A 27,946-nucleotide genomic window follows, 5' to 3' on the forward strand; every position below is an offset into this window, starting at 1 on the left:
CCTCTCTTTCTCTTAAATTCAACTTTGTAGAGCTTTGGAGAAAGAATTGCAGACTCATTCACACTAAAGTACAAATGACAAATAACAGGTTACGGTGTGATTACTCCAGATAGACTTTCTGTTTAACTTCCATCAACATGTTAAATGAGAGAAATGAAGCTTCTTGGATAAGAATAACATTTGTATGCAGCTACTATTATATGCCAGCTGCGGCAGTAAATGATTTATGTGTGTTGTCTCACAAAATGCCTACAACAACCCTGTGAGTAAGATAGTCTATGTTATTCCCATTTTACAGATGTGGAAACAAAGCTCAGGTTGTTTCAATAACTTGCCAACTAAAAGGTGACAGAGCTGAAACTAAAACCTATGATTGTCTGGTTTCAAAGCCAGACATCTTATTCTGGAATCACAGAGGAATCACATCCTTTTCTGCCTTCTTGGTATAGTTTCAGACATCTTGAACAAGGAGAAAAGGCTTTAGGGGAGAGGATGGCTTCCCAAGGTTGAAATCTTCCACTAGACAGACCCAAGTTACTCATTGTGTCAGTGTGTACAGAAGAGCCTGCCAATCACCCACGAAACCAAAGATTTGTCACCGGAGTGTCATTGTTGAAAATAGTTCTCTGCCACTGCAGCAATAGTGATGCCTTTGCCGCAGCCAGCTCCTTTCTGCTTTTCCAACTCTGCCTTCCTCTTGTTCACTTGTTCCAGTCACACTGGCCTTTTTCCTGTTCCTCAAGCATGCCAAGACTCCTTTCTATTTCAGAGATTTGCATCTACTGTTCTTCTCCTGGATCTTTTTTTAAATTTAATTTTTTCCAACTTCATTGCGGTATAATTGACAAATAAAATTGTGAAAGTTTGAGAGGTACAATGTGTTGATTTGATATACATATACATTGTGAAATCATTACCACAATCAAGTTAGTTAGCATATCTGTCACCTCACCCTAGTTACCATTTGTGTGTGTGTGTGTAGCAAGAACATTTAGGGTCTACTGTCAGCAAATTTCAAATACATAATACAGTATTGTTAACTAGAGTCACCCTGCGGTAAATTAGATCCCTAGGACATATTCATCTTATAACTGAAAGTTTGTACCCTCTGACCAAGATCTCCCCAACCACCCCCCTCCCAGCCCCTGGCAACCAATATTCTATCCTCTGTTTTCTATGGGTTCAACTTTTTTAGATCCCACATATAAGTGAAATCTTTCCTGGATCTTTCCATGACCAGCTTCTTGACATTCAGGTCTTAGCATAAATGTCACTCAATCGGAGTCATTCCCCTGATCTTTCTACCTAACATAGCCACTCCTTACCCAATCCTTGACTTCTTTTCCAGCTCTTAATACCATCTTCTGTCTTTCTCTACAAACTATAGGGAGAACATGTACCAGTTTTGCTCACTGCGAGGATTCTGGTGCCTGGCAAGAGGTGGGCACTCCGGAAGCCTTTGCTGAATGAATGAATTAGCTCAGGCATTCTTTGCTCATTGAAGACTACATGGAGGCCTGTCTCACTATCTCAAATCCATCACTGCTGGTTCCAATTAATCACGAGAATTTCCATGGCTGTTATAACAGGCTTTTCCTTCTGTAAAAGTCAGGGGTTCCTGCCTTTTGCATTTATAAACCAAAGCTTGACAAAAATGGTCGGATATAATTCTGGTTATGTATTAGGATGAGGTCCAAGATAATTCATATTCTAACTGATGCTGTTTGCTTGAGCTTGGTCTGAATGTTAATCCTCCCCTACCCTACGTTCCCAAATTTATGTTGAAACCTAATCACCAATGTGATGCTTTTAAGACGTGGGGCCCTTGGGAGGCACAGCCCTGCCGAATGGGATTAGTGCCCTTATAAAAGAGGTGCCAGTGAGCTTCCTTGCTCCTTCCCCATGTGAGAACACAGCAAGAAGGGGCCATCTATCAACAAAGAAGTGCAGCCCTCGCTAGACGTTGAATCTGCAGGCACCTTGAACTTGGAATTTCCAGTGTTTAGGCCTGTGAGAAATAAATTTCTGTTGTTTACAAGCCACCCACATTGGGGCTTTTTGTTGCAGCAGCCCATATGGACTAAGTCAGGGCATCTTTCAAATTCTCCCTTCTTGTGTGAATATTGAATACCTCTGGGTGAAAGAAGATCATGACAGAATGGAAAGCCTTGCGGATACTCTTCTGAAGTTGGGTGGCAATAGCTCCTGAAATCCTACAAAACTGGATCTGAAGCTTAGGGGTTTGCATTAGAGTTAACCAGTGACTTGAGAAACAGTTTATAGGGCAGTACAAAACATGGTCCTAAAATTACCTGTATCGGAATCATCTGGGGAGTGCATGAGACTTATTTAAAATGCAGATTAATAAACTGCAGTCAGACCTCCTGTGTCGACATCTTGGGAGATGGAGCCTGCCGTTCTATATTTTGACAAGTGCCCAGTTGTATTTTATTGTAGGTTCCCCAAAGTTTAAGAACCAGTGTCATTAAGAAAGGAAATTGTATTTTATTACAACCTACTAATCCTGAGAAGCCTCAGAAAAGCCACCAAAACAAAGCCGTCAGCACTCAGGCTCCAATCAGCTTTGGAATCCCGGGGTCCCACCTGAGAGATGGCATCAGTCTTGGTGTGGTCTACACTTGGAGAGTGTTACAAACCTCTGGGTGGCCAAGGTTCACTGTTTTGCCGTAAAGGGCCTCAAACATGTCACCACTTTGCTTGGGGAGTTTTTGTTTCTGGACTGCCTATCTTCTATTTCACAGAGGTGTGAAAAGTGAGACTTCCTAACAAGTCTAATGAAAGACATCGCCAAGCTTTCTAGTGGCAAGAACTTCCTTTGTTCTTTTAGATGTTGTCCTTATTTTTTGTCTGAGGAAAGGCATAGTTTGTCCTCACCTTGCTATAAACATTGCTTAATATTCAAATTATTAGTTGGGCTCAACCATCTCTCTTCTGTGTCTGTTCTTGTCTTTATGGGTCTTCCTCTGAAAGCTTTTCCTTTCACCTTTAATTTCTCTTTTTTCTTCTTTTTCTTGTCTGAATCCTTCCTATCCTTCAAGGACAAATTCAAGTTTGTCTTTATCCACTAACCACCCATCTACCTGAGGCTTTTTTGCTGGCTTGAATTCCCAAAGCATTGTACCCGTACTGTTTAGTACTTCACTGAGAGAAGAATAGAATAGAATAGAATAGAATAGAATAGAATAGAATAGAATAGAATAGAATAGAATAGAATAGAAAAGAATAGAAAAGGAAAGTGTTGCTTAACCACATCTTACTATTCCCCTGCTCTCAGGACTCATGAATGTTTTGTGTGCAGCCATCATTCAAGAGAAAACCCCATGACACTTTGCCAGCACACTGGACACTTCTTGCAGGGGCCAGCAGAGGGCAGTGGAGCACCCATGGTTCTTACTCCTTTTTCCACCTCTTTGTCTATGTCCAGGAAAACACAAGGAGCCATTTGTTGGTGCCCTGAGCCAAGTCAAAGCAGTTGCTAAGTCTTCTGAGATGTTTTATGTCCCTTTCTTACCTTTCCGCTCTGCTCCCTCCTTTGCACCACATACCCCCAAGCATCCACCCTTCTGGGGCTCAGTCTCATCTCTTCCCTCCCCTCAACCTCTAAGCTAAAACCGCAGACTGTGACCCTTTCCTACTGGGAACCCTCCTGAGTATTTATTTATTTATTTATTGAGAGAGTCTCACTCTGTCGTTCAGGCTGGAGTGCAGTGGCACGATCTCGGCTCACTGCAACCTCTGCCTCCTGGGTTCAAGCGATTCTTGTGCCTCAGCCTCCCAAGTAGCTGGGATTACAGGCACCTACCACTACACCTGGTTAATTTTTGTATTTTTAGTAGACATGGGGTTTCACAGTGTTGGCCAGGCTAGTCTCCAACTCCTGGCCTCAAGTGATCAGCCTGCCTCGGTCTCCCTAAGTGCTGGGATTACAGGTGTGAACCACTGTGCCTGACCTCTCCTGCCTATTTTAAATGTAAGCTTTGCAGGAGTTAATTTAACAATTGTATCCATGTAAGTTACTTCTTCTCTCTTGGCATGGATTGATCTTGCTGGTGGGGAATTCCAGCCTGTGGCCTGGTGAGAGGGGGAGATGGGGTGAGAAGGGTGCAGAGGAAAGAACTGCTGGGAACAATCCCCTGACTTCCTAGCAGGATAGGGTTAGTCCTAGGCTGAAGAGAGCAAACCTCTCATATACCTCAGGGGCGAAGCTTCCTTCCTGGAATGATCAGTGATGAAATAGCTGGTGGTTGTGACTTATCAAAAGGGCCATGCCCTGTGAGAACTGTTTATCTTTCGATGGATTTTTTCAGTGTGCTATTTACTCACACATGTTTTATTCCAAATCCTCAAAACAAGACTGGCTACATAATTTGTGGGAGGCCAGGGCAAGAGGAAAATGCAGGTCCTTTTATCCAAAAATTATGAAGGATTTCAATTTGGTCACCGAGAGCATTAAACCTGGCACAGGGCCCCTCTGAGCATGGAACACATCCATGTATCTGGCCCTGCCCCCAAACATGCATAGGACGAGCTCTTCTGTGTCCTAGACTTGGTATGAAACTTTCCCATATCTGACTCCTTCACTGCCCTCGGGAACCAGGGTCTAGAGAATGAGAAAGATACACAGGGAAAGTGGATGAGATTTTATTTGACAGATGTGTAAAGGACAATGTTTGAGGCTCTGGAGATTCCAAAGTTAACAAAACAAAGTCCCTGCCCTCATGGAGTTTGCACTCTAGTTGTAGAAGACAACGACAGATGAACAGGCGAGTGCCTGCAGATAGTAGGTCGGATAGTGATAAGCATGATGGATAAATGGGGGGTGGGGGGGATAGGAATGCCATCGTAAGGAGTGCTGTTATGATTTCAGGAAAGGTGGTCAAGAAGGGCCTCACGAATCATGTGCTGTTTGAGCAAAGACCTTGAGGGAGTGTGTCATGTAGGCATCTGAGGATAAGCATCCAAGCAAAGGCCCCGTGGCTTCCTAAGTTTGAGAAAGAGTGGGGAGGACAGGATGGTTGGTGTGGAAGATTGGGGCCTGGGAGGATGGAGAGAGGTGGAAAGGGGAGGCCAGGTCTTATAAAGTAATGATTTTGCATTTTGGATGAGATGGAAGCTTTGGAGGTTTTAGAGCAGGGGAGGTTTGTGGTCTGACTTACGTTTTAAAGGACTCCCTCTATGCTCCATCAAGAAGAGATTGTGGAGGCATAGAGTGAAAGCAGGTTGACCAGTAAGGAGACCCCTGCAATCATCTAGGTGGCTTTGGACTAAGGCATTCTTAGCTGAGGTGATGAAAAGTGGTCAGATTCTAGGAAAACCATAAACTCCCAGGTGGTAAGGGGTCATGTTGGTCTTGTTTACCACTGTGATTCTATTGCCACACACAAGATCTGGCATATACAGGTGCTTAGTGAATATGTATTTAATGAACCAGGGAGCAAATACAAATAGATAGGATTAGGATAATAAGATAATTAGGACAAATAGGTAAGATTAAGTTCTTATAATAGAGCTATAAGAAATAACATTAAAAGAATGGAAGCAGAATACCTTGACAATGTTTTATAGTTTCTATTCTCACTTTGCTTCTATTAAATCTGTTGAAATGTTAAAGATCAGTTGATATGAAATAAATTACATGTCTCAACCCTACATAGCATGTGAGCCTGAATATGCTTAAATGGACAGTCTGTATTTTTAGTATGTGGTCAATAGGTGGTGCTGTATCTTGTTAGGGCTCCGTCCCCAACTTGGCAATGTGAGAGGAGGCTTACTGATGTAGATCAAAATGTTAAATGCAGTCTTAGCTGGAGTGTATTCTGGGTCTACTGAAAATAAGATTAGTTTCTCCAGCAATTTGGTAGGACTCTCTTGGAATTATATATATGAAACTAACATTTGAAAATGTCAATTCTCCCTTACATGGAACATTTAGATATTATTTAAATGATAGAAAATGCATCTCAATATTAGAAACAGAGCTGTGCCCGCATGCTGCAGATGCCCTCAATGCCTGATGACATTTTACTTTATTTCATTCTCCATGTGATTCTGGTATATATGTGTATCGTCAATATATGTCTATTTTGGCTGCTATTTGTAAAAAGACCACATAAGGCATCATTAGATTTATTTCCTTTATTGAATGTGTAGGTGGGTGGATGTACAGAAAGGAGTGGCATGGGGAGAGGGGTATACGAGGAGAAAGTGAGGCTACAGTAATATTTAGGAGACTGTGAGGTTGTGTGGGACATTCTATGAACACTTTTTGGATAGCATATTTCCTCCAGCTGTGGGCTGTCTCCACCAGCTGGGCCATCTTTCTCCACCCAGAAAGCTCTCGAAGTGGCACCACCTCTTGCAAGATTGCATCTCTTGGAACCCTGCAGCTGGCTGGTTCTTTCTTGTCCAGTGCCCAACTTTCTGCTGTTAGAATTCGTTCTTACAGATTAAATCCTGCCATTGTTAGGCCTGAAGAAGTGGAAGATCAAAGATTCTGGGCTGGCTTTCCTATGAGTCAGGCAGAGTAAACCTCACCCTACAAGATGACTTGTGTCCCCCCTCAGGAGTCCCTGGGTGGACTTGAGAGCTGTAGGCGTCTGAGGATGAAATTGTATTCTTTCATGGTGTTAATGATATGGCTCTCCTGAAATGGAAGGCCTTGAGAACTGCTTCTGCTAGCGGACCTGTAAAATGGACACAGGCCAATTGTTGTTTCAGATGGTTTCTCTCTAAGCGATATTTCTGCCTTTTCTTTTCTGGGACTTGATGCCTGAAACTGTCCTTCAACCAGTACTGGCTTCCCTCCTCGCTGTGATCTGAGACCTCTGTCCAAGGGGCAAACGCTCTAACTGACCAGCCAGTATGTCCCCATTTCTTTGACATGGTCCTTCCTTCAAACCCTTCGACTTGCCCTTCCTCCCTCAAGCCTTCCTTGAAGTCCTTCCATCCACTTACTATTTGTTGATTCGGCAAATGCATGGTGTGTAGCTCCTGGATCTCAGGCATCATGCTGGGTGCTGGGGAAACAGCAGGACACGCTTTCTGTCCTCAACCTTTCCTTAGAATAAGCCCCCTTCCTTTTGACTCATTTAAAGCCTGATTTTCCTTCTATGATACTGCTTTGCTTTGGGCCTTGCCTAAAAGCTCCCTATAGTCTAGGGCTAGAAAGTGGGGCTTTCTGTCTTCTTACCTGGCTATAATTCATATATTGGCCTTTTGTCATCTCATGGGTGACAAGCTGGCTCAAAGAACTTTTGGGCATTATTTTTGCATTCAAGGAAGATGGTGGGGGAAGCACCAACTAAGTCTGTTCATTTTATCAGAGAAGCATAAGTTTTTCTGGAGGCTCCCAGCAGAGTTCCAGTATCCCCACATTGCCCCCTTTAGCTAAAAGGAAAACAGGGAAAATGAGTACATGGCTTTAGGGAGAAAGGGTTTGGGAATGGCTCCTTAAGTCAGTCATCCAAGAACATTGGCCCCCGAGGGACACTCAATCCAGCCAGATTATGCTCTTCTATACAAGTTGCCATAACCTATCAACATCTGGGTCACTCCATCACATCCACTGACTCCTGGGCTGCCATTTCTCTCCTGAATTCATCTCCTGTTATCATCTGGCTGACTTTAACTTCAGCACTGACAACACTTGGACACAGAGTTTCTTGACCTCCTCCATCCCTCTCTTCCACTCCTCCTAGGCAACCCATTAAATAGCTAACACTGAACTCACTGTTTCACCCAAACTTTCACCTCCTCTTGCTTTCCCATGACTGGCTCATGAAAGTTCATCTCACTTGTCATTGTCACTGAGATCATTGAATTCATCCCGTGCCACTCTGTCTTCTTCACATCTGGTATCTGAAGGTCCCTGAATCCTGTTCATCTTATCTCTGGAATAGTTCTTGCCGCCTCCTCTCTCTGTATTGCCACAGCTCCACTTTAAGTCCTGATTTTCTCTCCCTGTTTCAATCCATCCTCTGAACTGCCACAATTATGTAATTATACCATGTAATTTGATTTGATTGTTTTTCTTTGGTTAAAAGTCTTTCATGGTTTCTTATTGTTTTAGTATAAAATAAAAGCATGGCATTCAAAAGCTTTCCTGCCCAGCCCATCACTGTAGCCTACTCTCCTCCTTGCTCTCTACCTTGTCATTCTGGATTTTCAGTTCCCAAACAGGTCTCAGGGCTTTGCTGTGTCTGGACGCTGTTTCTTTCCTTCTCATTCAGTGAACTCCTTCTGCAAGCCGAGCTCAAATACAACCTCTGCAACGTTGCTTTCCTCAATCTCTTAGGCAAAATGAATCACACTGCCTTCCTTTCTACTGTTGCACTGTTCATGTCATATTTGTGACATTGTTTTCTACATGCATGATGATCTCCTTTAGGAGGGGACCAGTCTCTGATTCAGCTTTACATCTTTAATAGCTACTGCAGTGCCTGGCACATAGCAGATGTTCAACAGAGGTTTGTTGAACAAATATTTTTGAACTATTGTGGATTGCGATGGGGGAAATTTTCTGAATGTTGTGCATTTGGTACATTCTTAACATGTGGTAAATATGAATCCTAAAAGTTTAGTGAAGAAAACTTCAGAGAACAAATGTTTACCACAGTGTAGAGTTCTTCAGTTTCCAGGATCGGAGGTGGTGTGTGTGTGGTTGATGTTTTTAGAGTGAGGCAATGGCTCAGCCCCGTGGGAGCAGATTGCATGAGACAAGCACCCAGAATGGGGGAGATAATGCCAGCCAATCTGTCAGATTTCATCATCTGCTGGTCCTGGGCTGGTAAGATTCTTTATATATGCCTCTCTCATGCTTACATCTTGTGTGGAGCTGCCTTCAAATTTCACCCTCTGCAGGTTGCTTATACAACTCAACATCTAAAAATAATAATTTAAGATAGCATATTATTTATTTTGAATTTCATAAATGAATCTTGGTGTATTTTTTGTTGTTGTTAAGCACAGATTCTAATTATTTCTGCTCTATGTTGAAATCTATAGGCATGGAGAAGAGGCAAATCTCTTTCATAGGCTACTTCTTAGTCAAGCAATAAATAATATTTTTTCTTTTAATTTTATACTGCTAAAATTATAATTATATAATTATGAAAACACAGTTTGGGGAGTAGTCCATTTATGACTCAAGTATATCGCCGGTCCTTTCTTATTGTGCACCAAAAGAAAGGACCAGCAATTTACTTTTTGAATCTGGGAAACCTAATTGTGGGTGGGGTGTGGGTGTTGGCAAATAAAATGTGTGGGTTGGCAAGTTGTTTGAATATACTTGCATGACTGTGGGTGAGGTAGTGGGTGTGTGTATGTGTGTGTGTGTGTGTGTCTGTGTGTGTAGCTCAGCAATTACAACAAAACCTCATAAGTTTTGAAAAAAGGTGGGACATAATGAACTCATGAGTAGATACCTATCATAATTACACATGCATCCTGTCTTTCTGTGCTAGTATTGTTGAAGATAGCTCTCCTTTAACAAATTGATGATATTTGAAACCCTTTATGTTCTAAGTAGTTTAAATATCTTCCTTGGACATTATTCATGTTATTAATTTTCTTTGCAATGCCTTCTTTTCAAATGTGCTACAAAGGTAACCTTCAATCAAGGTTGAATTACTGTTATTTTTAGAGTAGCAGCATCTGAAATGATGAGGTTTGATTGCAAATGTCTTTTTTCCTAGCCATAGGAGTAATAATGATAGTTCTTTCCATCAGGTTGAAACAAAGCATATGATCATCCGTGTGAGTATAATGTCTTAGGTGCTTTCCTAGAAATATATTTTATAGTCTGGTTTAACTAGGGAAAAAAGCAATTGGTAATTGCTAATGAGTTAGAAGTTACTGTTCAGGAATTTTAAGGCAGATTTTCCATTTTTGGGGTAAAAAAGGAACGATTCTGATGGGTTTAAGTATATCATCTCTTATGCATTCACATATGGCTTTGTGTGAAAAAGAAAGAGACAGTTCTAAATGGGTAACTTGGCAGGAATGCTGGTGATAGGAGATGATTTTACAGAGTTGATAGAAAGAGCAGGTTTGGCCTTGAATGCAGAAATCTGGCCTCTGTGGGCTGAATACAGAGAAAGGACAGTGAATTTCCCAATATTATTGTTCCAAAGGTGTGGCAGCAATATCAAAGCCAAAAATCCATTGTTGGAGCCACAAATCTCAAATTAAAGAATGTTGCAAGCATCCCTTTCATGTAATGAACTGGGTCCAGGTTTCATCTGAGTGATAGCTTAATTGCTGGTCAATGACCTTTTATTTTTTTCTTCTGCTTAAGAGATTAAGCTTTATTCAGGGCACAGCTGAAGAGAGAACAAAGAGTCAGTAAATTAGCAGCATAATCTGTTGAGTCATGAGAACATAAAGCCTTTTCCTACACGCACAGAAGCATTTCAGCTTGGATGACACAGATCTGTCCTTTAAGGGCCATAGGGATTGTTGCTTCTTCCTCCATCCCTCCCTATAGGTTTAATGCCAGCCACGGTGCCCCTTTCCCATTTTTATTGTTGAAGTTTTCTATCCTTCCTGTGGGGAAAAACATTTCTCTTCTTACTTCCATGAAACTGCTCGTGAAGGTCACCATGGCTTCAGCCTTGCTACATCCAAAGCTTGGTTCTCAGTCTTCATCCCATCTCACCTTGCAGCAGCAGCCGACACAGTCGCTCACTCTCTCTTCCAGCAAACATTTTCTTCTCTTGACTTCCAAGACTCTGCACTTTCCCTCCTACCTCTTCTGCTGCTGGATACATCTTCCCAGATGCTTGCTGCTTCCTTCTCTTTTCATTGACACATCCAGGGCTCAGACCTTAGATCGCTCCTTTTTCTCTGCCTTCCACATGCTCTTGGAAATCTCATTTGGTCTCATGGCTGTCTGTGCCGCAAACTCCCACACGAGCACCTCCAGCCCACACCTGTCCCTGAATTCCAGACTCACAGAGCCAACCATCTATTCCATGTCTCTGCATTTCCACCTTCACGTGTCTGAAACTGAACTCTAGATCTTTCTTCCAAGTTGGCTTTCCTTGCCTTCTTTCACATCTCAGTTAAGGACAGCTTCATGTGTTTAAGTGCCCGAGCCAATTGCCTTGGAAGCATCCCTGACTCCTCTCTTTTGCTCACATTCCACATCTAACCTTTCAAAAAACCCTAATATCTGGAATCTCGTTACCACTTCTTACTATCTCCACTGCAACCACTTTGGTCTGATCCACAAACATCCCTTGCATGGATTCTTGCAGTTGCCTTTTAGCTGGTCTTCAAGCTTCCATCCTTGTCCTCCAAGGTTGATTCTCCCCATTACTCTCAAAGTAGACCAAGGCCCTCATTAAGACCAATGAGGCTCTGCATGATCTGTCCCTTCCCCCAACCATTCCCTCTCTGACTCCTCTTCCTGTCACTCATCCATTTCAGACACCATGGCCTCTTTGCTGTACCTTTAACTTTCTAGATGTGTTTCTATTTTAGGGCCTTTGCACCTGTGGTTCTCTCTGCCTGGAATGTTCTTTCCCAGACATGTGCATCATGAACTCCCTCACTTAAAATCTCTGATGTCATTTTCTTGCTGAGGTCACCTTGACAACCCTAAGTACCATTGCAACCCTCTCCCTCCAGCCCTGCTGACTCTCCTGCTCTATTATTTTTCTATAACAATTATCATCTAGTAAGATATTATATAATATGCTTATTTTTATGCTTTTGACAATTGTCAGCCATTTCCCACTAGAATGTAATCTTCATGGGGGCGGGGACTCTGTCTGTTTTGTACCCCAGCACCTATGATGGTATATGACACATAGCAGGTCCTCAGTGGATGTTTGTTGAATGAATGAAAGAAAGCTATAGATGCTAGGATGGCTGGCTTGCTCCCAGGGTGATGTGAATACTTCTCTCTCAAGCCTTTGATCGGGGGAGACCTCACTTCCTAAAGTGTTTGTTGGGGAGCAGGAGCAAGAATGAAGTTTCCCTGGGGGTAGTTTCTGGGAGAGAGAAAAAGAGAGCAGACCTTTCCTGCTGTTGCAGGGATGACTTGGGTGGTTCCTACTTGAGTGACGGAGGTGGGTGGTCAGGGAGCCTGGACTGGCTTGATGTATTTTGTATTCTGATATTTTTGCTTAACATTATATCATGAGCATTTCCTAATTTTAAAAATAATTTTCATGGTGATTGTTTTAATGACAGCATACTTAAAATACAGTGTTAATGACCCAGCCTTGAAAGTAGATATGTGGATGCATGGAGATGATCATGGGTTGCTTTTGAGAATCTGAGGGTAATGTAGTTAAGAGCACAGGTTACCGTTAGGCTGTCTGGGTACAAATCCTGACTCTGGCCCTTTCCGCCTGTGTGCTCTTAGACAATTCACTTTCCTGTGCCTTACTTTCCTCCTCTGTAAAATTGGAATAGCAACAGTACCTGTATCTGTAACAGTAGTAGTGTTATTTTGGAGAATAGAAGAGTTGATATTTATAAAGTACTTGGGGCCAGGCACATTGGCTCATGGCTGTAATCCCAGCACTTTGGGAGGTTGAGGTGGGTGGATCACTTGAGGTCAGGAGTTACCAGCCTGGCCAACATGGTGAAACCCCGTCTCTCCTAAAAAATGCAAAAATTAGCTGGGTGTGGTGATGTGTGACTGTAGTCCCAGCTACTCAGGAGGGTGAGGCAGGAGAATCGCTTGAACCCGGCAGGCGGAGGTTGCAGTGAGCTATCGTGCCACTGCACTCCAGCCTGGGCCACAGAGCAAGACTCTGTCTCAAATAAATAAATAAATAAATAAGTAAATAAATAAGTAAATAGATAAATAAATAAACAATGTACTTGGACCCCAGTTACTCAAAGTGTGGTCTTCAGACCAGCATCATCAACAATACCTAGGGGCTTGTTATAGTAGAAATGCAGACTCTCAGACCTGGCACCAGCCCTGCTGAATCAGAAGCTGCCTTTTGACACTATCCCTAGGTACTTTCTATGGCCAGCAGAGAAATTGACTTAAGCAGTGCCTGGAACACAACAAGTACTACATAATGTTGGTTAAATTTTAGAGCAGGTATGGTTTTTCACCAGTCAGACCTCTAAGGCTTATTTCTTGTTTGTGTCAGGTAAGCTTTTCCAATAAATAGCTGGGGGACTGTCTCAGGCCAATTACTGTGTACCTCTGGGCTTCAGCTTACTTGTCTGTGATGTGAGAGTCAGAAATGAGTAATTTCAGAAGTATCTTGCCAGCTCTAGCCCTTCGGTATTCAATACTGCCTCTCAATTCACACTTTACTGAGCAGGGAGTTAAAGAAGACCCAGGATTTCTTTTGGAAACTGTATAAAAAAGTAAGGCCTTAGAAAAATGTTTACAAATGTCCCTTATGGTGCAAGCTAATCATGCCAGAATTGTCCGAATTAAAAAAAATCTCACAGGTTCATCTTATTCTGTCTTTTTATATTCTTTTTGGAGACAGAGTCTTACTCTGTCACCCAAGCTAGGGTACAGTGGCATGATCTTGGCTCAGTGCAACCTCCGCCTCCTGGGCTCAAGCGATTCTCATGCGCCAGCCTCCTAAGAAGTTGGGATTACAGGCACCCACCACCACGCCCAGCTAATATTTTGTATTTTTAGTAGAGACTGCCATGTTGGCCAGGCTGATCTCAAGCTCCTGACCTCAAGTGATCCACCCACCTTGGCCTCCCAAAGTGCTGGGATTACAAGTGTGAGCCACCACACCCAGACCATCTTATTCTGTCTTAGTATTTATTTGATGATACTAAGAACTTGCAGAATTCTGTTGCTCTTGACAGCAGCTGGTCTATTATTAGCCCTTTTAGAATAAAAAACAATGACCCTTACAAATTATCTAACTTTTGGTGACATAATTGCTTCATAGCCCATGATTCAGACAGAGTTAGCAATTCTAAGAGATTAATTTTCTAAAATGTAGCCAGTAATCACACCCTAACAGTCTGAAAGGGGTCCTAGAAAATAGTCCTTACTTTATAGAACAGGAAAATGAAAAGGAGGATGCCTCTCCTGAAAACATTTTTATAACCACTATCAAGATTTTCAACATGTTTCTATGACTGGCAGAATACAGGTCCAATTCCTTGGCCTGGTTGGTATTCTTGACCCATTTTTATTTGGCTCTAAATAATCTTTTATGGACTGAATTTTGTCTGTGTTCTTTCCACAAATTTACGTGTTGAAGCCCTACTTCCTGATATAACTATTGGGAAATACAAGTAAAATTCTAAGCCCCTCAACTGAGTAAACAGACCTTCTCTTGGCCATGGCAACCCCAGAATAACCTTGAAAACGGTCCTCAGCCATGATGGTATGGGAGGTTGGACACATCTTGTTATATCCGCTCCCTCACTAACAGCCATTAGGCCTTCTTCCCTACAGGCTAAACAGAAACTAGCCCTCTCAAAAGACTCTGCTGCTGATATCAACCAACCACCTTATGCTGCCCCTCCCTTTTGCAGTTTTGGTGCAACAACAGACCAGCATTTCTTCCTGATGAGAGACAATTGACCATGGAGTGGTTCTGGCCAGTCTATGGAGAATGTGCAGCAAAGGTTTTCCTGTCATCTGCTTCATCTTTTGATGTCAGAGGGCCTAAAACTCCACCCTGGGATTATGCTAACACTGCCATTTTTTGTACACAGGACCCATGAAGAGGCATGAAGCTCAATTGCACATGTGCATGTTTTTCCTTTTGTAAATATTAATGACTCCTCCTATAATCTGTTGAATATGTACACTTAACCACTCAACTTACCATACGTTTCTGTTCCCTTTTCCCCTCCCTTGAAGTATCTGTTTTTGGCTTCTGACCAGAGACTACACTTCCCAGCCTCTGGGAATGGCCACCCTGCAGGCTGAAACTCTTCATGAGAAATAAAGCTCTTCTTTCTAAATTTATGAAACTTGTCATTCTTAAATTGATATGATATTTGGAGATAGAGCCTTTAAGAAGGGAATTAATGTGAAACGAGGTCATGAGAATGAGGCCCTAATCTGATAGGAGTGGTGTATTAGTCTGTTTTCATGCTGCTGATAAAGACATACCCAAGGCTGTTTATAGAAAAAGAAAACGGACTCACAATTTCATGTGACTGGGGAGGCCTCACAATCATGGCAGAAGGCAAACGGCACGTCTTACATGGTGGCAGACAAGAGAGAATAACAGAACTTGTGCAGGGAAACTCCCCCTTATAAAACCATCAGATCTCACAAGACTTATTCACTATCACGAGAACAGCATAGGAAAGACCCACCCCATGATTCAACCACCTCCCACCAGGCCCATCCCATGACACGTGGGAAATGTGGGAGTTACGATTCAAGATGAGATTTGGGCGGGGACACAGCCTAACCATAACAACTGGTATCGTTATAAGAAGAAGAGGTACTAGAACTCACTCTCTTTCTCTCTGCATAAACAGAGACGAGGCTACATGAGGATACAGAGAAAAGGCATTGTCTGTAAGTTAGCAAGAGAGGCCTCACCAGAAACCAACCTTGATGCCACTTTGATCTTGGACTCCAGGCTTTAGAACTGTGAGAAAATAACTGTCTGTATTTTAAGCCACCTGGCCTGTGGTATTTTATTATGGGTGTCCAAGCAGTTGAATGCATCCTCTTTCCAATTTTTTTTTCTTATGTTCCCACAAGGTGCTTGTCTCCTTCTATATGCCCAGGAGGTGCCCACTTCCTTATCTTTCTCCTGAGTCTTCTTAGGATGGCTTTCCTCTCCACTGCTGCTGTAAGAATCAGTTGGTTTTCATGGCTCTGTTCAAATGACATCTCTTCTGGGAAGCCTTCTGAAGTGGGTTGCCTAAGTTCTCTCCCAAATTCATGGTGACCCGGAAACTTAGAATGTGACCTTATTTGGAAATAGGGCCTAAGGACCAATAACATATATTTATAAGAAGAGGAGATGACCCAGAGATGCAGAAAAGATGGCCATGTGAAGACAGTGGCAGAGATTGGACTGATGCTGCCACAAACCAAGGAATGCTGGAAGCTGGAACAGGCAAGAGTTATCTTCTAGAGCCGTCAGAAGGGGTGTGGCCCTGTTGACACTAATTTTGGACTTTTGGCCTCCAAAACTGTGAGAGAATAAATTCCTGTTGTTTTATGCCACCAAGTTTGTCGTAACTTGTTAAAGCAGCCATAGAAAGCTAATAGGCCTTCTCTGATCCTCCCAGGGGAAAGTTCCCAGGGGACATTTTGCCTCTTCCCGAGACTTTCCACCTTCTATTATAGCTTATTTAATTGCATCCCATTGGTTCACCAAGACTGTGACCACTGGAGGGGAGAATCTTTGAGCCAACAAAGTACTCATCATAGAACCTTGGATATTGCAAAGTTTGTAGTCCTCAAAAATGTCTTCAATAAATGAACAGAAGTGCTGCGCTGTCAGATTTCCTAAGGGAAATAATAGCTTTTTCCCAGGACAAAAATTCTGCAACCGTGACATGTGCACATCTACTTCTGGATTAATTTACATAGGAGCATGTAGTGGGGAATGAGAATTTCCTATACAATTGTGTTAGTGATTGTTTATTGAAACTTTATGAGAGAAACATTATTGTGTAGTAGAAAGGGCACAAGACTGGGCATTTAAACCTCTGCAATTGGGTTGGAGTCCAGGTCTTTCTGATTATTGGCTGTGATACCTTAGGTAAGCCACTCTCGGGCTCAGTATCAATATGAGCAAAATGAGAACAAAATGGTGAGTGCTGCCTACCCCACGGGCATGTTAGGAAACTTGCATGAGGTAAGTTATAAGAGAGGGCTCTGGAAGCTACAAAGTCTCCAAGCTTCTGAGCTGGTTTGAGAGTTATCTAGAGTGCCTTGTGGGGTCACAGTCATAGTCACAGAGCTGTGGGAGTTAGACCTGTAAGGGAGTTTAGGGATCATATAATGAAGATCCCAATATTACCTGAGGAAACTGAGGCCAAAAGAAATTGTGACTCACTTATCTACTGTGAATCCAGTGGCCCCACAGTGGGAGCATGGGTCCCCCTTCACTAAGCTGAGATGCCATAGCAAGCAGGCAACTAGCAATGTTTCTTTCTTTGCAGAAACTAATCACAGTGAGCTCACCTGATGGAACAGACAGAACAAGTGCAGGACAATTCCCAGAAACACAATAAGAATGTTATACATAATGTCAAACTCATTTCATCAGATGATTCTTTGAAGTTCATTTTGAAGAATGTCATAAACATTTTAGCAATCCTAGTATGATAAAGGTATAACTTATGATGGCATTTATTCAAGGATTAGGTTGTAGAATAACATTATGCCCTAGATATTTGACAGACAGGAGTGTGAATTTTTAAGTCAAATAGATGAGGTGGAGATACCCAGGGAAGATACTGGCAAATCAGCAGCTCTCAATGGAAGAGTAAACGTCCATGATGTGATGTAAGTGTCCATGATATGATGCAGAGATTGACAGCCTAGTTCCTAGACCTGAAACTGTTAAAATGCTGATTCTGGTATTCCCAGTCACTTGCTGAAGAAGAAGAGGTTAAAAACCAGTTATAATGCACTGTAGATGTGAGTGATCGGTTAACTTTAAAATGTCCCTTACTGTGAGCAAGATCACATAGTTGGATGCATGAAAGAGTGCTCTATTTGTTAAGGAAATAAGAAATACAAATGAGAAACCTGGATGCTAACATTCTCAGATGGGAGCTCATTTTATTTTCTAGTAAAGAAAAACATTTTGTGGAGAGGTTCTGTGATTGTGACAAGGAATATGTCTCAAATTAAGGTTATGCTGTGCTAGATACATGAAGAACTATATCTTTAAATGACTTAATGGGACATTTTCGAGCAACTCAGCACTTGGCAGATTTCATTTTGACAAGCAGGAGCAGGTGGGTGGCTCAGGCTTCTCAACCTTGAAGAGATGACCCCAAATGACTTTGTGTTTTCCTGATAGCTGCAAGATAAAATAAGGGTTAATTAACTGTCTAGGGGAAGTTACATCCATTGCTCTGGTGAAGGGGAGAGGATTGTGTGACAGATGAATAGAAAGAACCAGTGTCAGGAAAGCACACAGTGACATATGTGCTGGGAAGCATGCTGGCCAGTCATCCCTGGGGTCCGGTCCGGTGGTAATGGTTTCTGTTCAGCACGAAGGAATTAAACACAACAGTCAACGGTGCTCGCACAAGAGTGCATACTTCTGCAATTCTTGAGTGAGAGATTTTTCTGTTTTTCTACCCTTGGGCGAGGAACCGACCCTGCAGAGGCAATACACCTCCAGGCAGGCTTATGCCTTTTCTGAACTTTGAGAGGCTTTAAATGCTTTGAAAATAAGTAACTTTTCTGAAATTGCTTCAAATCGGGACCCTTTTGACACTCTTTTTCACTTTTTCTACTGCTTCTATTTTCTCCATTAGTGCCTCTCCCTCTTCTGCTTCCTCTAATCTCTGTCCCTGCCAGTCTGGGTCAAGTTTCTGGCACCTGACTTGTTTGCCAGGAAAAAGACAACTGCGGGTGAAGGAGAAAACCCTTTCCTGCATGCTCGGCTGCCTTCGGATCCAACGCTCCTAGCTGGGAGATGGGAAGCTGTGGGCTGCGCAGTGGGTCTTTATGGTCTTGGAAAGGGGACACCCCACCTTGTGCTCATCTTTGTAGAATCTGGGCAAGTTTGGGGGTCCTCATAAAGATTTTGAAATTTTTGAAGTCTATTCTCTGCCTGTTTTTCTAAAAAATTCTTCAGTAGGTGAATAATTTACTTAACATTGTGTACTTGGGAGAATATGATGATGGGGACAGAGCATGCTGCATTGCATGGCTTCTTAGGAAGAAAACACTATGGGCTGCCCTGCAGAAATGCAGGCAGAAGCTGTCATCAGTGAATGTTGGGAGGATCCATAATGTTGGATTGGAATAGAACTAGAGTGAGGTATTTGATTTTTGTTTTGTTTGTTTGGTATAAAAATTCTATCAGATTCTCTTATGTTCATATTTCTCCCTGTATTTATAAAAGAACAGTTTTGCAAACCAGAAAAAAGATATACACAGTTGGCCCTCCATATCTTTGGGTTCTGCATCTGTGGATAGAACCAATTGCAGATTGAAAATATTCAGAAAAAACTGCGATATGTGTAAGTCTTTGGGAGTTCTTGCTGTATAAATAATTACTGTGAAGTTTCCATTTCATATATGTAGACAGACTCTTGGAAATATCTAAGATAGTAACAATGGGAAGTGGTGATATATTGAAAGAAGAAAGAGAACAGCACAAATTGAATCAGAATCTTAGTTTTTTAAAGCAAATGTGGATGTGAACATATATTACTGTGTAGTCGTCTCTGAATGTCTAAGGGAGACTGGTTCCAGGGCCCCCGAGGATACCAAAACCTGCGAATGCTCAAGTCCCTTGATCTAAAAATGGTGTAGTATTTGCATATAATCTATTCACATTCTCCTGTATACTTTAAATTGTCTCTAGATTGCTTATAATATCTAATACAATGTAAATGCTATGTAAGTAGTTGTCACACTGCATGGTTTAGAGAATAACAATAAGAAAAAAAAGTTATTTATACAGCATGGACTCCCAAAAGACTTACACATATAATAGTCAGATCATGATTTAAAAATCGCTACGTCAGGTCTTTCAATCTTTAATTCCATATTTATTTTGCTTTTCTCACTCTCTCCACATACATTAATATACTTATATGTAATATATACAATATTTTTCTAAATCTTGATCATTTGATTGAGTTGGTGTTTGCCAGCCTTCTCCACTGTAAAATTGTTTTTCTCTTTGCAAATAGTAAAAAATTTGTGAGGAGACGCTTTACAATTATGTAAACATCCTATTTGTCATCAAATTTTCCTGTACTTGTTAGCATCCACTGATAATTTCCCAACTCCATCATGCCAAGAAATAAATGTGGAAGGAATGATTAAGTTAGAAAATCAAAAATCTATTTTTATAAAAAGAATCTGCAACATTCCTTTACTATTCTGGAATGTATTTTATAGGTGGTATAATCTATCTACAAATAACTTCAACTGTAATATAAAGGAGAAACAAAAGGTTGATAATGTATAATAAAAATAATGTGTATTTCAGTATGTAAATTCTTTGGCACTTCTGTACAAGAGGATACATTGGGAGTCAGGTGTGTGCCCCTATGTGAGAAATCATGGTGCGGGGACAGCTACATGTGCAGAGGTGGCCTGCTGATGTCTCAGAATCAGCCAGTGGTATTGTGTTGGTAATGTGATTTTTGAAACCAATGAACAACTTTTGGTAAAATTTGAAACAAAGTGTGCAAAATATTCCTTCAATTACCCCATATTCACAATCCCACCGAATTTGGTATACATTAAAATAGTGCAAAAATTATTTGAGTTTAAATCTAAGATGTCTATAAAATTTAGATAACTATAGTTTTTTTATCTACATGGATGCTGGGCGGGACATTTGACAAATTGTATGGGATGTGGATAATTCTTTGGAGTGTGGCACCAATCTGCTCATTTCAGGATATCTGATACCTCTGGTTTGAACCCACTAGAAGTCTTTTGCATACTCTAATCATCCAGACAATAAAATAACTCCCACAAATGTCCAAAATGTCCTCTGGAGGTGGTAATACTGGTTGAGAAGCAATATTCTGAGCTCTCTCATAAGCTCAGATTCCTGACCACTGGTGCCCCTCCCCTTTGCCAACAACAACAAGAACACAAAAAGCACATATGTTGGTTTTTCCTTGGTGTTCCTAATATTCTAGTCCTTCACCTGTTTGCTTTAGCCCTCTCTATTGCGTCTTGTAGGTCTTGGGCATGAGAGACTTTTTAATTTCCACGGATGCATAATATGTTGATTTGAGGTTTAAGAGAACAGTGGCAAATGGCCTGATCCACCATATTTACCCCTTCATGGGGATGAATACGAAGATTAATATCTCCTTCAGTTAAGACTAGGAAGACAAGGGACATTTTCAAGGACTCAAACCAAGGCTCTAATTCTTCCATATACTTCTCCCCCAACATTTGGAGATGTCTTTAACGTTCCATCAAAGGTTTTGCTCCTTGGTGTCCCTGAATTTAGATCAAAATCTGGAGCAGAAATGTGATCAGATAACAGGAAAGTCTGGTTTTGAAAGGCTATCTTGCCACATTGAAATAAGAAGTATTATAAACAAGTGCTTGAGTGACCAGCAATGCAATTGTGGAGAATCAGCCTATTACTTGATCTTCTAAGTCATTAAGAATGTTTTGACCAAGAAGAGCCTGGCCTACTTGATTTAAATCTGTTTTAAACAATAATAATGTGAACAAGTCAAAGGAATTTTAAGGAAGGATAATTGTATTTGAGCTGAGAGGTTTCTGTTGACTGAGTTTGGACAGACATATTATTAATAACTAAAACATGTGGTATTTTTGTTTGTCATCATTGGAGTATTCCTGGAGTCAATTTCCCCTCTGGTTCTCCATTTTTCTCTCTGTTTTGCTTCCTCAGGCCTCCCATAATTTTGCTTTCTTTAATGCTTTCATGTTCCAACTTTTTAGGCATGATGAATCTGACTTCTAACTGAACTGAGCAAATGATTTCATTACAGTCATGCTTTAAAATCACATTTACAAATTCTCATAGGTCAGCAGCAGAGATACTGGAAACTGGGAGTGCCTACCAAGCACAGATGGGCTACATTAATTTTGTGGCTTTCTCTTTGTTCTTTCAGACTGTTTCATGAGGCCTTCTCCCATCTAGAATCTTTCTCAGGAGTATTCTGGATGCTTTGACCTGGATCAGTTACTGCTTTGGTTTGTGGCAACATGAAAACTGGCACAACAGGACAAAAATGAGTTGATTATTTCAGCTGAACTTCCTGGGAGTTTCATTCACAATAAAGGAGAGGCAGAACAAGTAGAAAACTGGAACATGCAGCTCCTCATTATGCCTTTGTTGTACCATCCATGCAGTGAATGTTTACCAAATTCACTTTATGCCTCATAGCAGGAGGCCACAAGGAGAGTGACTGAGTTCCCATGGCTACCACAGGAGGCCGCCAGGTGGGACAAAGAATTCAGGGTGAGGAAGTAGATGGCCTGGGTCCCCATTTCTGTTGTTACCTCCTAGCAGTTAGCATGTCTGAACCTCAGACTCCTTATAAAAACCCCAGTTTTGTCTACAGCTCAGTATGATTGTGAGAATCAAGTGAAACAAGAAAACTCCAAGGATGAGTTAAAGAAAAAAACCCCACAAGCATTTACAACAGCACAAAGCAGCTTTTTTGAGACCACATAGATGGGAATTAAGTTTCAGGAGTCTGGGGTACAAGCCTGAAAGTACATCCACTCTGTGCCTCCCAGGGAAGCTGAGAGGGCTGCATGTTCCGGAGCAAACCCTTTGAATGAGGGCGGAGTGGGCAAGAGAACAAGTGAGCCATCCTATTGTTTCTTCAACCTCAAAATGTCAAAATTGAACTCATCACTTCTTGACCTTGGCTTTAGGCCACCACTTCCCCTTCATGGCGCTCTCTGGCCCTAATACCCTGGCCTTTTGAAGTTAATAGCACGGAAGGCAACCGTGTCCACCCACAGTGTGATTCTTGGCTGCACTGTGAGGACCAGACACTGGGCCAGAGTGGATGTGGCTCTGATGTCTTATGATTCCCCCCATTGTATGCTCAGAATCTTGTTTAGTAAGGCTGCCAAGAACGGAGACTACCTAGAGAAGGTTTTCACTTAAATAATTCAGCGTGGCATTGAACAAAGTCAAATGGCAAATGATAAAATTGGAGAGAAAGAACTAGACTTAGGATTCAATCATCCAGGCTCTACTCTGGACTCTCTACTTATTTTTTGTTTGGCTTTGGAAAAGTTACTTCACCTGTTTGCACCTCAGTTTCCTCATTTGAAAAAGGGGGTTAAGAATCACTGCCGCTATGAAGTTACAGGGCTGCTATGAGAGTCGGATGGAAGGATGTATTTGGTGTGTCATCAACTGACGAGCTCCCTATGGTACAAAGAACACAAAGTAGATTTGGGGTGATTCGTTGTTAAAGGCAATCAGAAAGAAACTAGAATTTATTGAGGTTTGTTATGAACCTGACTTCATGTTTCATATATAATCACATTCACTTTTCACAAGAATCCTGTGAAGTGGGTATTATCATCCTCCTTTTTCTCAGAGAGGTTAAGTAACTTACCCAAGATTACACGCTGCCAACTGACCTGGCTGGAATTCAAATCCAGGTCAGGCTGATTCCAAAACTCTTGTTCTTGGTATGACATCTGCTGTCTCAATAGAAGAACAAATCATATATATTTGTGTATATAATTTATATACATATATATATTCTTTTTTTTTGAGATGGGGGTCTTACTCTGTCACCCAGGCTAGAGTGCAGTTGTGTGATCTCAGCTCACTGCAGTCTCTGCCTCCCAAGTAGCTAGGACTACAGGCCACCAACACACGGCTAATTCTTTTTTTTTTTTTTGTATTTTTGTAGTGATGGGGTTTCGCTGTGTAGCCCAGGCTGATCTCGAACTCCTGAGCTCAAACGATCCATCTACTGTGGCCTGCCAAAGTGCTGGAATTACAGGTGTGAGCCACCGCATCCGGCCTAAAACAAATATATACTTTGACTCTAGGCAGTACATTAGTGATTTCTCTACCTGTATGTAGAGATAAAACAAAAAAGCAGATTCGAAAATTCAATACTTATATCTTAATCCAAACAACACTTCTGTATTTGAGAAAGGAAAGTCCAGGCTAAATGGATGTCTCAGAGAGATTCAAAGCTGAAGGTTTTGCAGACACCACACCTAAGTGGGTGTTTAATCCAGAAGCGTTAGGAGAAGAATGCCAATTGACAGGACTGCCATGAGATTCCATAGGGACAGTAAACATCCATTGTGATAGCCTGAAGCCAAAACACATGCCATCAGCAGGCAGCTGAATCCACAAATCCAGCTGCATCTGGCTGCTGGGAAGCATTTCACATCATCTTTGCCGGCAAGAGCTCAAACTCACTAGATTTAAATGAAAACTACTGATAGGAAATGCAGAGAACTCATGAAGGAATGTGTTCGGTAGAAACTTAAGTGCAAAGCTCTAAATGTTTTGTTTCTAGGGATCGATGAGAAGGCTTAAGGATCTAAAATCTGGGCATTTTAGATCTGCTTAGTACAGGAATAATTTGCGGCCTCAGGTTTAGAGTCATGTTTGAAAAACTGGCCCCTGGATTGCAGGAAAACAAAAAACAATATAGCCATTTGGTATGACTTGTTATAAAACTTAGCTGGTGGTTTTTAAAAATAGTTCCAAACCAAATTAGCTCTGGGCACCTGCTGGAGCTTAGTATGTTTTCAGATAGACTTGTTTGCTGTCAGCCAAAAAAAAAAAAAAAAAAATCCAACCCAACAAAACCTTCCACCCACATGGTTTGTTATAAAACCTGACATTACTAATGCTTTTCCAAGCCACTTTTCTTAGATCAAATCATTCAAATAAAAAAACATGGCATCTGACATCTTGAAAGAATGGGGCAAATTATTTGCTGTTAGATAACAGTTTCAGAAAGTCATGGGAAGAAGAAAGGTAGGAAATGTTAGAAAATACAATGTATTAATCACTGTGTGAAAGCTTTTCTAATTCTTCATGTGACTTCATTCCAACACGGATATTATAATATGGCCGGAATGTTGGGATTTATGGTTCTATAGGATAGGCCCCTTAAACCATCTGTTATTGCAATGTTTACCCAAGATGTGCGTGGATATAGCTGTTTCAAGTGATTTGGACATTTTGTTTATGTGACAGAAAAGATATAATTGATATTTAAATGAATAATGGCAACAATGACAGCAACCAAAGTGGCAAAAATCATTTTCTGGAGATTTTATTTTTTAGGCAATATTGAAAGCTGTCCATTGCTCACAGAGTATGTTAAGACTTGGATCAACATTAACAAATGAAAACCTCATTTCTGCAGTGCTCTGAGGGTTATTTAGGTTTCACAGATCTTATTTAAATTCTGATCTGTAGCAGTTCTCTGACTGCAGTTGGGAAAGAATCCTGTTTAATTATACATATGTTTTATATAGTAAAATGGCTTCAAAAAGCCTCTCTTACCATCACTAGTCTACATATCATTGAATAAAATACTACTGACTCACTAGTGATTCACCCTGCCTTCCTGAATAACTTTGAATAATTTAACTTCCTAACCACTGCAGGTTCTTGAAATCAAATTGGTATCTTAGAAGTCCGGATAGGAGTAATTATAATAATAATGGCAAGGATATTGATGACTACTATTTTTATTGTTACTACTACTTACTAAATGCCTGGTACTAAAATAGACACTTTATATGCATTTTTGATATACCTGATAACAGTCCCATAAAAGTTATTATTAGCCCATTTTATAAATGGGGAAACAGGATCTTAGAGTTTGCACAGCTTAAAAAAATGGAAATATTGGAATCTGAATCCAAAACAGCCTGACTCAAAACAATGTTCTTTCCATTATGCAAGGGAAAAAAAAAAAGGTTGAGTATCAGAGAGAAGGTAATAGGAGACATTTTCTCCAGGGAGTGACCCATAAGATGGCAAATGTGCTTTGCTCCCCATTAGAGGGTTCTGGAACCCCAGACATAAATATGATATAGAAACACTCTAATTAGCTCTAAATGAGGAGATGCGGGTCAAAACTTGCAGAAATTCTCTAGGCACTCTTCTTAACAGGTGTGGTTTAAATTAACCCAGACAAGCACAGTAAGAAAAGCTGCCTTATTTGTTGCTGAAAGGCCTGGTCAGATACAATCATTAAAGTGTGTGAGTTCTCTATTGAGTAATCCACTTTTGCTATGGAAATCTTAAAATAAACTCTTCTTTATGAATGTGAAGGCTCACTAATTCTCCTTTCACTAAACCTCAAACCCTGTAATTTTTACTAAGTATCCGAGAGTCTCACAAATGCTAATACCAGAGCATTTTAGTCTATCACAAAGATTTTGTTTTAAATTACCGTTGAAAAAAAATCAGATTCAGCATTTCCTATAAGTAATTGAAATGAAACTGGATTTCCCAAATAAAGGAAAGTATTTTAGTGGAGTTAATCCTTGATTTGTCTTATTGACAGCAATTTTTACTTAAGCTTTTGGCATTATTTTTCTGCACTGTTTTTTAAGGTTTAAGATGGGATTAAAGCATACATGGCATTGCTATTTATGTATTTAATTGTTTATCTCAGAGTATTTAGATCTCGGTTTAGCAACCTAAACCAATTATTTATTGGTCTTGTACTTTTTTTTTTTTTTTTTAAATAGAAAGGGCTCAAGCTTTGTATGAGTCCTTGTACACTTCAGGTGACCAAATCAGAACACCTGAAAAATTTGGTCGGCTTCATTTGCCACCACTTATTTACACAGCTGAGTCATGTATTAAGAATTTGAAAGCATCTCCCATTACTGCTTGTGTAGACTAAGTTAGTCCTCAATGAATTGGACCAGGGTTGAAAATAATCCTATTGTGATCCGTCTGAGGTTATGTAGGCTTGGCTAAAAATACCCTGCTACATCCTTACAGAAAATTAAAAAACGGTAAAGATGATGTAAGTAAACAACTGAATAGCAATGCATTTATCTCATGATAAATGTAATCAGAAGACCTCTACTAGCTGAAGTCTTTCTTTAACATCTCCAAGCTAATATGGACTTTCTCTTTTAAATTTTGCTGCCTAAAGTACTTAGGTCATATCTTTTTGTTATGCAAGGCCGTCTGCTAGAATATACCATTTCTTTGTGCATATTACAAAAAGGAACCCTGCTGATTGGACCAATTACAAAAAAGTACCCCTTGCTCTGGGTCTGGGTTAAGGTAGCTCTGTGCCAGCTCTGTGCAGACTGGATTTCAGCCCTGCTTGTTTTTCCTTGTGTGTGGTGACCTGTTCTTATGCTACTTATAGTTTGTCCTGTCTCACAGATATTTGTATTTTATCACTTACTAATTTATTCACTTGAATGTTTAATGAGCACTCATTACATACCAGGTATTCATTAAGCTCTGGAGAATCCAATGATTTATAAATAAGACCTGGACTCTGCCCTCAAGGAACTCATGTTTTAGTCAGGGTGAAGGATACTGTCAATCAGTATCCCAGCAGCAAACAGATGGCACAGTCATAGGATAAGTTAAAGAGAATGTAATAAAGGGGATTATTCACAGGACAGGGTGTAGGGAACTTACAAGGGATAGTGTAGGATCTAGGGGCTAGCAAGGCATGGTTAAAATGGTGGAGTGGGGGAAGCAGTTACTGGAACCCAGAGAGAGAGAGTGCTGGCTGGAGAGGGTCCCTGGCCAGAGCTAAACTTAGGAGGAGGGTTACAGCAGGGACTGGGGGGACTCTGCAATGAGAGAGGTGGGTGGAGGGAATAAACACCCCATTCTCACTCTACTGTCCTCTCATCTCCTCATTATTTAATGGTGTTCTTCATTGGCTGAACCTGAGCAGAAGTCAGGAGACTAGGATGCTGATTGATATATTCTTTAGAGTTCAGCCTTTGGGGTGCAGAGAACAGATGTTAAGGAGGGTAGAGGAGGGTGGAGAGTGGGTCTAGAGGAGAAAACAGAAGATATCCAGCATGGTCCATTCCTCTTGCCTCTCTCTATCCACTTCTGTCCTTTACATAGCTAAAAGGTTGTGTTCCAATACAGGAAACATACAAAATCCCATCAGTTTCCACATCACTGACATTGATATCATCAATCTGGTCATACTCCCAGCTGAAAACTAAAATGTCAACAATCACCAGTGTCCTTCATATAAAGTAATGCGGGTGTGAGGGACAACTTATTAATATAAAATATAGCTGCTACCTTGTCTACCTCGACAGCTCGTCACAGGGCTTAACTGGTAATGATAG

At 41.1% G+C, this 27,946-nt stretch overlaps 1 protein-coding gene across 2 annotated transcripts in view; it reads left to right on the plus strand.

Moving 5' to 3' along the window:
• LY96 (lymphocyte antigen 96) overlaps window positions 1–14,944 on the plus strand; it is a 108,466-nt gene extending 93,522 nt beyond the window's left edge. For both annotated transcript variants that reach the window (XM_017013299.2, XM_017013300.2), the window contains one exon: window positions 14,506–14,944. In XM_017013299.2, the coding sequence (XP_016868788.1) occupies window positions 14,506–14,697 (192 nt within the window). In that variant the 3' untranslated portion in view covers window positions 14,698–14,944. The remainder of the gene's footprint in view (window positions 1–14,505) is intronic.
• Window positions 14,945–27,946: the final 13,002 nt, after the last annotated feature.

The sequence above is a fragment of the Homo sapiens genome, chromosome 8 (genome assembly GCF_000001405.40).
Source record: "Homo sapiens chromosome 8, GRCh38.p14 Primary Assembly".
NCBI lineage: Eukaryota > Metazoa > Chordata > Mammalia > Primates > Hominidae > Homo > Homo sapiens.